We start from the raw sequence: 18098 nt of genomic DNA on the forward strand, positions 1-18098 counted from the left end.
GAATTACCAACCTTATAAAAGGGGGTAATTTTCCCAAATAAAATTCAATAGATTTAAATTACAGCAAATTTTAAAGCATTTTAAATTTCTATTGGTATGTAATTCACAGTGGAACATAGAAAGTTAACCATTTCTCAGAGGCTATTATGTTTGTTTTTAAAACTAAATATAAGTATTTTGTATGTGAAAAATTTTCAGATTATTCATCTAGAGTCTACCACAGTCCAGATTTCTCACAGTATCTTTTGTTCATTTTACTGCTCCTTAACAGATGCATGAGAAAGCTAAAGAAAAATAAAGATGAACTACTTTTATTCTACTACACTCCATATTTTGATAAACCAGTTCATCTTTTTTGCTTTAAGCTGAACTTTTCAAAAATAATCAGATAAGTAATTATAATATGTCCATTCTCTTTTTAAAGGTGGAATCCCATATGTTCCTATTATTCCTATTAATTCTGGTGAGTATGTTATGTCATTTAAGGGTTTTATCACAGGCTTACTTTCCTGAGGGTTTCAACTAGATTGTTTCTGTTTCCCATTTTTTAAAATAAAAGTTCATTTATTACAGACGTGCAAAAGTTTACATTTATGCATACATGATTATAATTGATAAACTAAAAAGTCATACATCTAAAAGTTAGGAGACTCAAGATTATAGCTGAAGTTAGTCAATGACTCACAGTAAAACACTGCTAACTTATTTAGTGGCCCCTTCTATAACACCAATCTGCCATCAAACCACTGCAGAAATACTCTGAAGTTAAATAGCAATACATTGAAATAACATGTATTTAAAACACCAAGAGGTTTCTTTTAAAAAGTTTTAATATATGCACAATTGAGTACAATATCATTCTAGGAACTTATAAAACTCCTATCAAAATACCATGGTTCAGAGACAGTAGCAAATAAAATAATACATAATGATAAAACAGGAAATATTTATATATTGCTTTCTTCCTCATTTATAATCGTCTTTTCTTTTTAATGAATTTTGATTGAGACTGCTACGTGACAAGTTGTCTGGGCTTCCCTAATCTTCTCTAGTCATTTCTTTTGGAGTTAGAATGACATTAATTCCAGATGAAAATAAATATTATCTCTCTTCGCACTGTGCCTAGCACGTAGTAAGTATAAGAATAAGCTTCCAATTTAAATGAAGAACCTGACACATGGGGCAAAACTAATGATGATCATAATCATTTACCATGTCCTAAGAGATTACTATATAGACATCATGAACTGGCTATCATAATACAGGTCATTGCTTAACCTATCCAGTGTAATGTTAACAGATCCATGTAAGGTGACAGAAGTGGGCCCAAGGTCTCTTAGGAAACATATAGTTTGACCATGCAGAGGGCATCATGGCCAATTGTACCTGCGATGTCAGGAAGAGGAACCCACTAGATGACCATCCTTGGGAAAGAGTCAACCATGCCAGCCCAGACACATATAGCCAGCTGCTGGCATTGGATTCTGCATATAACCTACCATGACAGAGGTTTCTACAGGCCTTTTTCCCTACTTCCTTATGCAGGAATATTCATCTGGATAATGAAGATCCCCTGTCCTAAATCTGAGATTTGGCTTGCATTTAAACATGAAATTAAACATGTATTTAAACTGAAAATCTGCTGCAAACTGTTTCTCTCATGTTGAAATACAACTGTTTGATTGGGTTTTCATGCCTTATAATGTTTTCTTATTGTTTCTTTTGAATAGTTTAGCTGTTTTTACTTTGCTCTCCACTGTATCAGGAGTGAGGGCACATTATTGATGCAAAGAAATAGGACCAGGAATCAGGGAATCAGATCTTAAACTGACTCCTCATATTTGTGTCCCCTGGAAAATTCTCACGCGGCTTTCTCAGTGGGAATAGGCAATTCCAATAAGTGACTCCAGAGATTCCTCTCAGTTCCAAAGACCTAGGACTGTAGTATTTCTCCTATATATATCCTAGGGTCAGAATAAGCTAATGGGTCTCATAGCTCCTTATGCCAGCATTACAGAAAGATGTACCCTCAGATAGACTCAAGAGTCCCTAAGATGTAGCCCAATGTCATTCAGGACCCCAAAGCCTCATATTTCCTTTTAAATTGGTCTAAGACAAAGAAATCTTGATGTAAAGACACCTAACTAACAATACCTATACCAAGCAGGGAGATATATATATATATATATATATTACAGTTGACCCTTTAACAACGTAAGTTTGAACTTCCCAAGTCCACTTATACATGAATTTTTTTCATTAAGTTATACAGAGTATGCATGCCTCCCCTGCCACCTCCTCTACCTACTCCTTCTCTGCCACCCTTGAGACAGCAAGACGAATCTCTCCTCTTCCTCCTCAGCCTACTCAATGTAAAGGCAACAAGGATGATTATGATGGTCCACTTCCACTTAATGCATAGTAATTTTCTCTTCCTTAATGATTTTCTTCGTAACATTTTCTTTTCTATGGCTTACTTTACTGTAAGAATATGGTATATATAATACATATAACATACACAGTATATGTTAATTAACTTTATGTTATCCATCAGGCTTCCAGCCAACAGTAGGCTATTAGTAGTTAAGTCTGGGGGGAGTTAAAACTTATGCATGAATTTTCGACTACATGAGGGGTCAGTGCCCCAAGTCCCCAAATTGTTCAAGGGTCTACTGTGTGTGTGTGTGTGTGTGTGTGTGTGTGTGTGTGTGTGTGTGTATACACTCATGCATTGCTTTATGATGGGGATATGCTCTGAGAAATGTATAATTGGGCAATTTTGTCATTGTGCGAACATTAGAGTGTACTTGCACAAACCTAGATGGTATATATGTATATATTATTTCCCCATAGAAAACTATGATATTCAGCACCACTGCTGAATATCAATAATTTCTCTTAATTGATCTGCAATGTCAATATCAAGTGCCATATATCGTTTTTTTTTTTTTTTTTTTTTTTTTTGGTACAGAAGGGGTCTTGCTATGTTGCCCAGGCTGGTCTTGAACTCCTGGCCTCAAGTGATCCTCCCGTCTCAGCCTCCCAAAGTCCTGGAATTACAGGCATAAGCCACTACATACAGCCCATTAGAGTGTTCCAGGCTACAGATGCAAGGCTTGAGGACCCCATTAGTCCTGCAGTCCTTGTTCTGAGATCAGTGAAAAAACACTGAAGACTTAGAAGCTGGACAATGACAGAAGGTTTTTTTGTTTGTTTTTTGGGTTTTTTTTTTGTTTAGAGACAGGGTCTCACAATGTTGCCCAGGCTGGTCTTGAACAATCCTCCCACCTCTGCCTGCCAAGTAACTGGGATTATAGGAATGAGCCATCATGCCTGGCTCAAATATACTCCATTATAATCATATGGGACCCTGTCCTATATGGGGTCTGTCACTAACTGAATCATCGTTATGCAGCACATGACTGCTATGTGTATATATGTATTTATTTATAAGAAATAAATATTACATACCAGAATTTTACAGTTTTGTCCTCTAACTCTTTGGAATGCTAAAGGACAGACACTTGTCTTTTTAAATACCCCCATTGTACCAAATATGTACAGAGCCTCAGGAAATGAATATGAGTAAATAAATTTATAATTTCCATTATAAAATGTCTAACTTATTTTCATCAGGTCATAAGCATTAGGAGGTAAGGCCATGTTTACACTGTCTGCCCTATATCATCAAGGACCAGCATGCCACATAGTCTTACAGCTACTTTAAAAGGCATTCTTTGAACACACTTTTTTTGAATGTGTACCCAGCTTCATGCTTGGCACTGAATTTGCAAAGGTGATCAAGATAATAATCTCTTAAAAGCATAAAAATCTTTTAAAATTAAAACAATATAATAGCCTCTGCTTCCCAGAAACATAGTCTACTAAGAAGGCGGGGTGGAGGAAGTAAATAAGCAGATAACAGACTAACACACTGCTATTTCAGAGAGACAAATAATTTGGGTCAGACCACAAATAGGGTCATACCACAAATCAGACAAATAAGCTACAAATTAGCTTCACTTAACAGATACAAATTAGTAAGGTTAATGTCCACTCATTAAACATTTCAATCTCTCAAGTCAAGCTACCCATATAAACACTTGGTATCCAGAAGATGTTGATCATAGTAGCTATAAAACAGGTTTAGTCAGAAAAGCTATTAGGATCAAAAATTGGCAGTCACACATCTTGGCTTGGGTATTCCTAACACATAAAGGACAAATATCACATCAAAAACATAAACCGTGAGCAACCTACCGGTGCAACACCATTAATATTACCATAGTGATAAAACCATTTTTGTTTTAATGTTTTAAATTAATTTTAAAATCCCTTTTTGCCAGCCAGGTGTGGTGGTTCATGCCTGTAATCCCAGCACTTTGGGAGGCCGAGGCAGGTGGATCACTTGATGCCAGGAGTTCAAGACCAACCTGGCCAACACGGTGAAACCCTCTCTCTACTAAAAAATAGAAAAAAATAGCTAGGCATGGTGACACACGCCTGCAGTTTCAGCTGCTCGAGAAGCTGGGGCACAAGAATCGCTCTGCCGGGAGGCAGAGGTTGCACTGAGCCAAGATCGCACCACTACACTCCAGCCTGGGTGACAGAACGAGACTCTGCCACGTAATATTTCATATAGTAGTCCTAAATGTCATTCTGGATTGTACTGTATATCTGCCTCCCTCAAAATAATAATATCTCTGAATAATTCTGAGTTCTCTCCATACAAAAAAAATCACTGTTTCTATCACTATGTATAAATATTCTGGTAGACACCAAAAAATAATAATGAAAAGGGAAAAGTATTCATCTAAAATTATCACAATCTTTAGATTTAGGAACAGGATTTTACTTTAAATCATTCCAAACATCCTTAAAACAGAAGTCACCATCATTCACCACAAATGGAATCATCTCAAACACCAAGACAGTAAACATGTTTATACTTACATTTACAAATTTACATAAATGCATATATTTGTATATAAAATGACTCATTTATATAAATACATATACACAGACACTGACATACAAACTAGCATTCATATCTTCAAATGTCCAACATTCACATTGTGTTTACTGAAACTACAAAATTCAATTGATTTAATGTCAAATAACATGATACTACCTGCTAAATATTAGGCCCTCCCTACTCAAACATTTCCAATGAAATCTGTGTTATGAATCACCCAATTCAATTGATAATCCTTGACACAAGTAATGTTAACAACCATTATGTATATTAAATTTATATATAATATATATTAATTATATATTAAATTTATATATTATATATATTATATTTATATATAATATATATGTAATTTTTTTTTTTTTTGGAGACAGAATCTTGCTCTGTCACCCAGGCTGAAGTGCAGTGACACAATCTCAGCTCACCTCAACCTCTGCCTCCCAGGTTCAAGACATTCTCCTGCCTCAGCCTACCGAGTAGCTAGGATTTACAGGCACTTGCCACCACACCTGGTTAATTTTTGTATTTTCAGTAGAGACGGGGTTTCACCATGTTGGCCAGGCTGGTCTTAGCTCCTGACCTCGTGATCCACCCGCCTCAGCCTCCCAAAGTGCTGGGATTACAGGTGTGAACCACCGCGTCCAGCTTTTAAAGCAGTATTATATAGCACCATATTTTATATATATATATATATAATTTTAAAAATCACAGTTAAAGGAAATTACTAGATAATGATCTAATTAAAATAAAATATGCAAATAAGTAAATATTATTTATATTTGCTTTCTGCAAAAATTGACCCATTTAATGTAGTTTATAGAATATCCTAAAGAAATTTGTTTCGAAGAAAAAAATTAAAAATGAATGCAAAGCTACACAGCTTCTAAAGGGTATACTTTTTTAGATACTAGTTTTACTGATAGAGATTATGTATACTTTTAAATATTTATTCCATTTGATAATAATGAAAAACAAAATGTATAAATGCTGTAGATAGAGCACTAGATTTAGAGTAATCTCATTTGTAAATTGGTTTTATGCCAGAAATACTCCCCAGAATGTTGCTCAAATGAAGCATCAAGCATCAGCTCCCTCATTAGCCAGCTGTGTAACCAGGGACAAGTAATTCACCTCAGTTTGAACATCTTTAAAATGCTGATGCATCCTCATCTTCAAGGTTCCTTCTGGATTTAACATTATGAAAAGACCAAACTGCGATGATATATTATTACAAGAATCTTATAATTCAAAAAGCAAGGATAAACTTTTCTAAGTTAGCACACTATTACAGAGTGATGACTGTTAATCTGTAACAAGTTTGTTATAGCATTCAATAATAAGACAATTAACAGAACATGACATGACATCTCTAAGGCTGCCATTACGGCACTTTTCTGTTTTTTTGAGATGGAATTTCACTCTTGTTGCCCAGGCTGGAGTGCAAAGGCGCAATCTCAGCTTACCGCAACCTCCGCCTCCTGGTTCAAGCGATTCTCCTGCCTTAGCCTCCCTAGTAGCTGGGACTACAGCACATTTTTATGCAGAACTCAAACTAATCTAAAAAACCAGTTAATTTTCAATATTATCATTCCAATTGAGAAAGGGAGAAACTGAGTCCCAGAACCACAAGAGTGATTTGGCCCCATGTCAGCCAGACAGAATACAACATGACAAGACAGAAGTTTCTGGCTCCAACCTCTGCCTTTTAAGAGTAAATGCAATTCAGACTCCCTAATTACTCTAAGGCAGAGTTATTAACAAAGCACAGGAATCAAGTTGAAAACTTTAAGGTTGAATGTATGTCTTGCTTAAAAATTGGGAATGGCCATTAAATTTAGTTTTGAGTATCATTCAAAGCTATATTCTACTTCAAAATTCATACCTCCCTTAAAAAACTCTAGACAAATTTTTCATCATCAAAAAGAGATTCAATCTCCACTGTGACTACGTCAAAATGCGAGGGAAATACAAGGACAGATTCTGTAATTCTGTATATTTACCTCTAGGTTCAGTAATACATTGTTCAAAAAATGTGTAATTCTGACTCATTTCAAAATAGCATGTTTCCCTAAAGTAAAATGGCCAAAATTTATATGTAAAATTCTACTGATACTTTTAAAATGACAAATGTAATATTCATATTCATTTCACATCCACCTCTCCAGCAAGATACACTAGCTCACCCTAGGGAAATATCCTTATTTTTTCTACAAGTACACAAAAATATACAAACATATGCATTTTTGTATTTTTTTCAGCAAAATTATATGAAATACATGACCATATATTTATATGTACCTACATATCTACAACTTTCTTTGCTCACTTCAAAAATATCATGTACATTTTCCCAAGTGTACGGTGATCCAATTATTTTAATATAGCTGCATGACATCCCATAGTTTGAATGTACCATATGTAATCCAAAAATGTTTCACTGATATTTTTAACAAATAAAAATACATCTTTAACAATTAACTTATATTCACAATGTACAGGTTGTTAACAATAGACATTCTCGTACTCTATGTATTGGTATTCTCTATAGGATGGATTCCCAGAAGTGGGATAGGATCACTGAGACAAAAAGTACATTTTTCATTCACCTTGTTATCGTGAGTACATAAAAATGTCAACTATCTGATATTCTTAGAAGCACTGGCAATTGGAAGTCCTCTTAAGTGCACCAATTTGATGGGATAAAAATGACATCTTACTGTTTTTGTTTGTATTATCATGACCACTCATAATGTTGAACATATTTCTATATCTTCACTGGTCAAACTTGCAATTTGTCTGATGTTCATGTCCTTTCAAAACTGTTTTTTGTTCCATTAATGTGCTGACGCCCTGTACATATTAGTTAACCTTCTTTTCACCATATTTGTTGCAAATATTTTCTGCTAGTATTTTGCCTTTGTTTATGGTGTCTTTTATAAATGAGAATGTTTTACTTATGCAACCAAATCTGTTATTATGCATTATCAATCAAAGTTTCTTAACATGTGTACAAAGACCTCTTTCATCAGGATATTTCAGTAATAGTCTCTTATGTTTTTTCCTAATACTTTTTATTTAAATTGTTTTTTGATTCTATTTGTGCTATTACTATACTTGGAATTTCCTTATAGTACTATCTTTGGTGAGAGCCACGCCATAATATTTACTGAATAATCCATGCTTTTCCTATTTAATGGAAATGTCATTTCTTCATTTCAGTAAGGTTCACTATGTACTGGAACCTGTTTCTGGGTTTTGCCTAATGATGCCCATTTCCGTGCCAATAGAGACCTACAGTTGGTAGATTTTACTTCCTGGTACAAGGACAATATTCCCTGTAGTTTCATTTCTAGTTTATTTCTACAGATGAAAAAGGTTTTATGTATGTTTTTAAAATAAATGCAATAAAAATCTGAATGTTATGTAAAGTGTTCAAAATTGCTCATCTAGACAAGACTTCGAACAATTTCCTAAATTTCGTCATGTTAAGATTTTAAACAGAATTACATTCAAAAATGAATAAAAATGTATACATTTACATATCTAATAGGTTTTAATGTAAAAACTTAAAACTTCTAGGATAGTCACAGGTTTAAAACTTCTATTCAATTATTTATCAACACAAATAATTGAAGAATGTGAAAGAAAAATTTCTCTTGACCTGACATTTCTTAAAGAAGAAAACAAATTCAAAAATATCTAATAAATGTTCCTTATTTTTATGTGCTACAATCTATACGAGACTAACTAAACAGGCCAGTCAGTCTGGCCCAATTTAAGGAAAAACATTGAGGACACTGAAAATTAACTGAAATGTCAACCCACTTTAGAAGAAAGCTATTAGTAAAACAAGGGTACAGTTACAAGCACTTGTGAAAAGCACAATAAATAAACAATGAGACCCATTCAAAGATGCTGGGGAGACATTCAGGCTTTGCAGGGTTAGAACAAGAGACAGCAGAACCACTTCCCACATGGGCAAGAGTTTGTTTATTTTATTCTGCTTATCTGAAATCAGAGCAAATGATCCCAGTGGTTTGGAATGGCTCAAAATGTTTCTGGGCATCTAGGGAAGAAAAACTGCCTGGTTTTCAGGCGGTGTTTCTTTTTGCTCATGTGAATTTTAAAGTTCACGACTGAAAACTGAAATATTTGAGACCACAAAAGGTATTATTCTTTCAGTCACATGTTTCAGAGGAGATCAAAAGAAACACTTTCCACATAACTTTGAAAGTACCACACAGTGTGACCCCATAAATTATTGTTTATGGAAATGTCTTTACAGAATTGTATTTCACACCTTGGGAAAAATGTGAAATGAACTTAGCAACTTTTAATCATAAAGTTTTCTAGAAAACTGAAAAAATACTTAAGATGTGAATTATTTGTTTCCATGATTTCATTTAAGGCCAGGCTAACTGATGAGAAAGCCTAGAATATATTTCTTTCAGAGTACAAATATGGAGGAAAAATGACTATCACCATTTTTTATATAAAGGTAAATGAAATCTATATCCTTTGAATTGAATGAGAGTTATAATATCAAAACTTTCTATTCAACAGCAATTTCAGAATGAAATCATTTGTCACAATCTTCCTATTTCAAATGCAGAAAACAGCAGGTTATGGAGGGGGGTGTTTAAAAAGAATCAATGATAATGAAGTTTCAACCTTTCATTAATATCTTCTTTTACATCCAACAGTCAGAAAATGTTTTTAAGGACAAATAGGAAAGTACCAAAATATAATCTACTCACTGAACCAGTTAATTTCAAAGCTTTACACAGTGCTTTGAGAGGATAAGACTTGCTGGAAAGGTACAGTGAAGTAGGAGATTTTTTTTTTTTCTAATCAGACATCCACAGGAGGAAAATGTTTTAACTCTGCCTCCTAAAATGGAGAATGTACTTCACCTTCATTAGGTGATGAGGCAGTCCACCACAAATACAAGAGCTAAAAATTCCTTAGCACAAGAAAATTAGCTCTTTGTCATGTCCATGGAACATCTATTGTTTGGCTAGCTTACTCTGGAAGGGGTTTCTAAGTTAGTTGGCTGTCATTAATCTAAGCGCATATGGGGGCAGCTAATTAGAGAGGGCACTTTTCTGTTTGAGCAACACTGCCTCAGGTGAGGCTTGAATTAGTAGCCAACTTTCACCCTACACCCCTACTCACTCTTGAATCAGCACTCTGTCTGGAACACCTACCACTCCACTTTTGGAATGTGGCCTGCCTCCTCCACCTGACCACCAAGGCTCCCCCTCCGGAAAGCCACAAATTATAGTGCTCAATTGCAGCCAAGAGAAGAAAGCACTTGGAGGTAAAGCCAAAGTGAGAGTGAAAGAAAAATTTCCACTAAGAAACCACCAGTAATAATAGATATATGAGCTACAGAAAAAGTAAACAAATATGGGCTGTACACCCACCACCTTCACTTCTCGGAAGAATAAGAGAAGAGAGAGAACACAAAAAGACTCGTATTCTGACTTGGGGGAAACAAAATTCAGCAGAAGCAAACCAAAAAAATAAACAAGCTGAGCTACAGATTTCATTCTCTTTGCTCTGACTTACTGTAATTCTGAAAGTTGATATATCGAGCATTACAGACTTACTGACAAAAAAACCAAATGCAACTCCCTTATTTCATATAGACTGCTTATTTTGTGAAGGTATACTCTGATTTTTTTTTGTCTGTTTGTTTAGTTGTGGTAGCTCCTTTAGTTAAGATGTGAGAATTACAGCACAGAATAGGCAAGACAAAAACAGTGAGTCCACGGGAGGATGAGGATGAGTGCTGTTTTCCTTCCTGGTAGAGAGCTGCTTCAGTAGTATTTATTGAAGGATTATATCTGAGGGAATGCATGCTATGTCTCCTCTCAAGAACCAATGCTACTGGTGGTATTGTAGGTGTTACAGCTCTATCAAAACACCAAGTAATTTTTCCTAGCAAAAACATTAAACTTCAATCATGCTGAACAAAGACTCTAAAATGGGATTAATCACTGCACTAATTTCACTTTGAACCAAAAAAAAAAAAAAAAAACAGATTCTGTTGGTACAGTGTATTTATACAAATGACCCTACCTTACGTGGAAAACCTGAATGTCTGAGGGTAAGATATGTTTGCCCTAGCTCCACTTGTGATTACAGATTAAGTTTTCCTGGTCTGCAGGAACTGAAACACAGAATGTGTTGAAATGAGAATAGCTGCCATATGTCAAGTATTTGGGAGCTTTTACCTTCGAAACAATTCTGAGAAGGTGGTTTGGCAGAGCAAAAACCTAGCAAATCAGATACGTCACCATAGTTGGCTGACCTTATCAGCTGAAAATAAATCTTCATTAGTCAAACTCTAATATATACAGATAAAGAAGGTAACTCCCTAAAAAAGTTTTTGCTTAACAAATTACTTATCTTGATTATGTAACAAATGGTTGCCATTCTTACTATAAAATGTAGTTACAACTGGTCATAAGTCCAGTGTTAAAAACACTAAAACATGGTCAAGTATAAAACAGTTTTTGGTGGAAATTTTCTTGGATGTTTCTAAATCTACCAGATGTACTTGTGGCCAACACTTGGAACACTTGGTGCCTAGTATGTGAAGCCTTCCTCCAGCGCGAATACCATACTGAATGCTTTAACACAAACCAAAGTAACCAAGGAGGTTATACTGAAGTATACACTGCTTTTTTAAGGACAAACTTCTCTTTTATAAAAATTCTATTTATACTCCAATTCCATGTTAAGTTAGGTTTCAGTAAAAGACACAATCTTCCACTTCACGATTTGAATCCTTATTGTAAACCTATTGAATCTGTTACCCGAAATAATTAGTGATAAAGAAAGCATAATGGTTACTAAGCAGTCAAGGGAGAATTTCATAATTACATATTACATTTTTTAGCCTTTTCATCTATTGGGTGTGCCTCCAAACAATTTAACAGTACACTTTATAATGACTCATGTCCACATATGACAAGGAATCCTGTATGTGCTCTCATAGATTCATACAACAAATGTCTGGCCTGAAATGTAAAATTAAAACTTATTTATCAAGATTTTAATGTATTTTTCACATACAAAAATCTTCATGTTATACAATGGAATTTTAAAAAATTATTTTCTTCAAAGATGAATAGACCTGACCCAAAGTAATCCTAAATTTTAAAACTGGAAAGGAGAAACTTCTCTATGAAAGATATTGGTATTACTATCATTCCATACTATATACAATATACTTGGTTACAGTTTTATCACAATACCTAGCATATAGAATGTTCACAAAATCCCCTTACATGTAATATTTCAGATTTTTTTTTCACAGACAAGGTCTCTGTCACCCAGGCTACAGTGCAGTGGCATGATCATAGCTCTCTGCAGCCTCCAACTCCTGGGCTCAAGTGATCTTGCAGCTTCAGCCTCCCAAGTAGCTGGGATTACAGGCACCCACCACCATACCCAGCTAACTTTTTAACTTTTTGCAGAGACAGGGTCTTGCTATGTTTCTAACTCCTGGCCTCAAGAGGTCCTCTCACTCTCAAAGCACTGGGAGTGCAGGTGTGAACCACCACACCTGGCCCATAATTATTTTTAATAAAGTGTTAGCCAAAATTCATTTATTTTGTAGTCACAAAAAATTTCATAATTCAAGTAAAACATACTTTCTGCAATGTGAAATTTTATATACATAAGATTAAACATTTTTCCATTAGCAAGAGGAAGATACTTCCCAGAAAAAGGAATCCAGAGTTTTCTACAAAGACCTCCTGGTCGGGCATTGTGGCGCATGGGCAACACAGGGAAACTCCGTCTCTACAAAAAAATACAAAACTTAGCCTGGCATGGTGGTGTGCGTCTGTGGTCTTAGCTACTTGCGAGGCTGAGGCAGAAGAATCACTTAAGCCTAGGCTATTGAGGCTACAGTGAGCCATGATTGCACCACTGCACTCCAACCAGGGTGAAGGAGCAGACCCTGTCTCAAAAACAATAATAATAATCATAATAATAATAAACCTTCCCAACCCCAGCCCCACCTTCCTCTGTCATCCCTTTTCTGTACTTTGATAGCAAGGCCTTTGTCATCTATGGAACAGAAAGGAAACAAAACGATACTACACATCAGGTATTATCTTGGTACTTCCTGTTGCTTCCAGTTACAAGGGGCTTTATTCCTGGGGATATTATAAAATGACAAAGCTTTCTACTTGATAATAATCCATAAATAAGAGACTATAAGAAACATAATCTTTCAGAAGAGGTGGCAGCCAGGCTTCTAAAGCAGTTATGTTGTGATGTAGGTTTCATATAAACACTTGAAACTAAAAAGCAAAGCGGGTGGGGGGTGGTAGAGGGTGGGGAGGTGGCACTGCACAGTTCCATAAACTCATCTTGTTCTAGGACTCAGGGAAAACATTCTTAAACATGGACAATTGGAACACTATAAAGAAAGATGTGCTGTTCTGCCTGAAAATAAAGCAGCTAAACAGAAAAATATATATCTGCCATGTAGGGCCCTGTGAAAATTCCAATTATACGTTTTTTTAAAAAAGATATCCACATGTTGTGTTGGTTGATTCTTGTTGCAGTCTCCCTAAGAATGGTCAAGCAGTCAGAATTAACCAAGAGAGACACTGTTCTCTAACGTGTGATACAATGGAATGTTTCTATAGGATATTCTTATACAACTTAATAACAAAAAATATTGTAGAAAAATAGTGTGCTACACATTCCCCTATTTTAAAAAGAAAGTACGTATTTATCAACGACACGTTATGATTGATTCAACATTTTAATTCTGTATTCCGTGTCCTAGAAAGCTTGAGACAGTATTTCAAATGAAAAGATCAGTGTGTAAATAAAGAGAAAACCCAATCAATTATCATGGTATCTAAAATCTACTTTCGTTTAACTAAAATATACCAGTTGTACTCTCTTCAGCTGTAGTACTACTGATTGTTGTGTTTGTTAGTAAAAAGAAAAGCTTCCCATAATTAACTTCCTGTTTTTCTACCTTTCACTGCCAAGGTTTTTAAAATGAATTTCTCATAATTAACACAATGCTATAAAACTAAGGCTTAAATCGAAATACCACGAATTCTCAGTAACCAATAATAATGATGGTTATGTTCTATCTTAATATTGATCAACTTGACTCACAGATATTATTAATGTAATCACACAAGACCTCAAGGGTTTTCAAAAAGAGTGATACTTGTATCTTGCAAAGAACAGAAATAGTAAATTATATAAACTACATTTTAAAAGAAAAAAGGCCTATAATCTCATCACTTTGGGAGGCCCAAGTGGAAGGATCACTTGAGGACAGAAGTTCAAGACCAGTCTGGGAAACATAGTGAGACCCATCTCTACAAAAATAAAAAATCTCCCAGGAGTGGTGTCACCCATAGTTCTAGCTACTCAAGAGGCTGAGGTGGGAGGATCACTTCAGCCCAGGAGTTAGTGAATACAATGAGCCATGATCACGCCACTGCACTCCAGCCTAAGTGACAGAGAGAAACACTCTGAAGAAATAACAACAGAATTAAGTAAAATTAAAAATTTGTTTAATTTTGAAAAGTGAAACTACTGAAATCCAAAAAATTTCTTGAGAATAAAATACACAACAAAATTCAATACAATGAAAGCACAAACATTTTTGAGCAAAGGATCTTATTCAAATTAAATAAAAACTATAAATGTACTTGGCAATTCACCTAAATGAATGTACTTAAAATGAAAGCAGCAAACAACTTCAAAGTCATCATCCTAAAGAGTACAAAATGTAATTAATATTGAATGGAATGGTGAAAAATATTAACACATTTTTGAAGCAAAAAATAAATAAGCTTTATGGAAGGAGACTAACTTAAAAATCAAAAATTAGACAATTCTAACTTACGTTAATAATTCACAGAAAAGAAATAGTGAAGAATCCTTCACTTCAGGGTTTCTTATTAGCTTGCAAATCCAAGTATAACTTAAACTCCAAGAGATCAATTTATGTTTTTTAAAAGTTATGTAAACACAATGCCACTTATTTAATTTTCCTCTTCTCTTACACTCCTATCATTTTTCTCTTCTCTGTTTTAGGAGGAAGAGAATTAAAATTTGTTTGGTGCCTAGTATGTGACAAGGCACTGTGCTTTATTCTTTACATTATCTCATTTAATCTTTACAACCAGCCCTATCAGCTTGATAGTATTATCCCTATTTATCTAAGGAGATATTTAAAAATCATGAAAACTGAATAAGTTACCTGAAGTCTGTAGCTATTTGTTAGGTGTTCTGGCCCCTAAGCCATGCTGCCTCTCTATATTGTAAGGCAATACTAAACATTAAGATACCACCTCTTGGCCAGGCACAGTGGCTTATGCTTGTGATTCCAACACTTTGGGAGGCCAAAGTGGGCAGATCACTTGAGGTCAGGAGTTCAAGACCAGCCTGGCCAACACGGCGAAAACCTGTCTCTAGCAAAAGTAAAATAATTAGCCAGGCATGGTGGCGTGTGTCTGTAATCTCAGCTACTCGGGAGGCTCAGGCAGGAGAATAGCTTGAACCCAGGAGGTGGAAGTTGCAGTGATCTGAGATCGTGCCACTGCACTTCAGCCTGGGGGATAGAAGGATACAAAAATGATACCAAAAAAATGATACCATCGCTCAGTATGATGCTGCAATTTTTCTGCTGGTAAAGCTCAGGTTCTGAACATACAACCTTGTCCAAGCCATCCAATTTATTACCTTTTTTTTATCTCTTTCCACTCAAGGTAGTTATGAAGACACACATACAATCAATTTGTAAGTTATCCAGGCTGAACTCTCTAATATCTACTACTTTGTATCACTATGTATCATTTAAAAACTAAACTAATGATAATAGTTGACATTTAATGAATGCCTACTCTTTGCCAAGCACTTTTCTATGTGGCTTACACAGACATTTCATTTAATTATAAGCAGTTGAAAAAGACAATCAGGAGTCAATAAATATAAAGAGATTACATATACTTTTGATTAAACTGAATAATAAAGTAAATATACATGCATATATGTATTATATAATGCATACATTGCAATTATATAAAATGGATCATTAAAATATATTCAATTTCATTTTCATTGTAAGTACAGATGTTCCTCTACTTACAATGACATTACATCGCAATAAAATCATCATAAAGTCAAAAGACTCTTAAGTTGAAAACTGTCTGTATATAAATTATAACTTAAATTATGTAACATAAGACATATATAGAAAGCTGGAACTTATTAAACATTATTTTTTATTAAATAATAAAAGAATTCACTGGGAGAAGAGTTTTTACCTAAGAATAAAAAGCAAATAAATAAAAATAAATAAAATACCTAGAATCATCTTTTTACATTCTTACAGAACATTCACAAATTATCTTTATTGTCAGACTGGCTGAATGGCCGTTCATTTTTCAAATGTTCAGACTTATGTGAAAAATTTAAAAATTAAAAAAAAGTTCCTCCTTTAGTAAAATGTGGTCTGAAAAAATTAAGCTGTATAACCATTTACTGAAGAAACTTCAAATAATCTTTAATTATTAATTTTTTAAAAGAAAATGTATAGATTAATACAATAAGTGACAAACAGCAAGCAAATAAAATGTATAAAAGACAGTCAAAACACAAAAGTAAGCATAAGTGCTTTCTCCTAAGCACTGCACCAGATACATCATCAGAGACATTAAAAAGTGGTTGCAGGCAAAACCAGCATCTTTGACATATCAACATTCTGGCTACAGAAGGCAAAAAATACATAAAAAGCACTTTAAAATGCACAATAAAATACAAGTTACTGAGAAGAGCATTCTAATAAATGTACAAAATCTTATTTCTTCTTTCCTTCCCTTCTTCCAAGTTAACCAAACCCTTTACTTTATACCTCTCAAACACTTCAATTTTCTTGAAGCTCTGTCCTTACTTATTACTAAAGATCCTATGGGTAGGACTGTATTTTTTTTTATTATAAACATCTCTCTCTCAGTTTTTAATACCACAAAACTGAGTTCTTGAAGGGTCTTTTTTTCTTTTTCTTTTTGAGATGAGAGCTCACCATGTTGACCAGGCTGGTCTGAAACTCCTGTCCTGAAACAATTCTCCTACCTCAGCATCCCAAAGTGCTAGGATTAGAGGTGTGAGCCAACACACTCAGCCTAAGGATATGATATATGAAATTAATCCCTGAGACATATCAGTGAGGTTCTGATTAAAACAAGTAGAGAGTCATCTTCATTTTCAAGATGTATTATATTTTAGCAGTGTCCTTTTCTTGAAGTTCAAATTAACATTCATATTTGTATAGCTGACCTCTGCAAACATGGCAGACATGAGGATTTAATATGACTTTCTCTCAATTTCAGTTTATGTTCAGTTTTGAATTGCAAGAGAACAGCCTGTCCCTAGTTTTCCTAACTAGCCTCTTTGGCAACAAGTGGGAAGATCAGTACTCCATGTTGGTTGGTAGTATTTTAAATCTGAAGCATTTTCAGAGTCTAAGGCAATTCAGACTGCACAGCTGTCAACTCAGGAGTCCCATTAAACTGACTCTAAAAATTCCTAAAAGAAGGCATGATTTATTATAAGCAAATGGCTAACCTGGCTTTTTTGGTAATAGAATTTTAAATGAAAATAAAATTATACAAGATACACATTGTTTGGATTTTTAAAAACTCTATTAAATGTTTAAGTGGTTGTGAATATGAGGAATAATTAAATGTTAACCCCAGCTGATTAGTGAACATATAAGAAAATGGGGGGAACTGATCCCAAAAGATCTTCTCTTCTAAGGAGAACTTCACTTGAGGGGCAAACACTAGAAGATACAATTGTTATTGTAAAACAAACACTAATGAGAGTCTGTCAAATAATTTTAAAAGAAAATAGAACGCATTTGCAACTTTCAAATGCATTTGATGCCCAACAATTTCATCACCTACCCTATGTTTAAAACTGGGAGGCAATCCAGAAACTAAAAGGAATCAGAAATTTGCAAAAATATGTTTGCGATACACTATCCAACACTTGTACTGACAACATTAGTGTAGATATTTCAACATATGTTAATTTTAAGGAGTAAGTTCGGCAGATGGGCTTC

At 34.6% G+C, this 18098-nt stretch overlaps 1 protein-coding gene across 3 annotated transcripts in view, besides 1 other annotated feature; it reads right to left on the reverse strand.

Moving 5' to 3' along the window:
• Positions 1–18098, reverse strand: part of PPP3CA (protein phosphatase 3 catalytic subunit alpha) — a 324109-nt gene that overhangs the window by 272751 nt on the left and 33260 nt on the right. The window lies entirely within an intron of this gene.
• Positions 8595–9178: an enhancer, noted in NCBI's record as "OCT4-NANOG hESC enhancer chr4:102225920-102226503 (GRCh37/hg19 assembly coordinates)". NCBI's record gives its function as "activates a minimal SCP1, AML or CMV promoter by ChIP-STARR-seq in naive H9 embryonic stem cells {active_cell/tissue: H9 hESC(naive)}" and the evidence as "EXISTENCE:reporter gene assay evidence [ECO:0000049][PMID:30033119]".

Source organism: Homo sapiens, chromosome 4 (genome assembly GCF_000001405.40).
Source record: "Homo sapiens chromosome 4, GRCh38.p14 Primary Assembly".
NCBI lineage: Eukaryota > Metazoa > Chordata > Mammalia > Primates > Hominidae > Homo > Homo sapiens.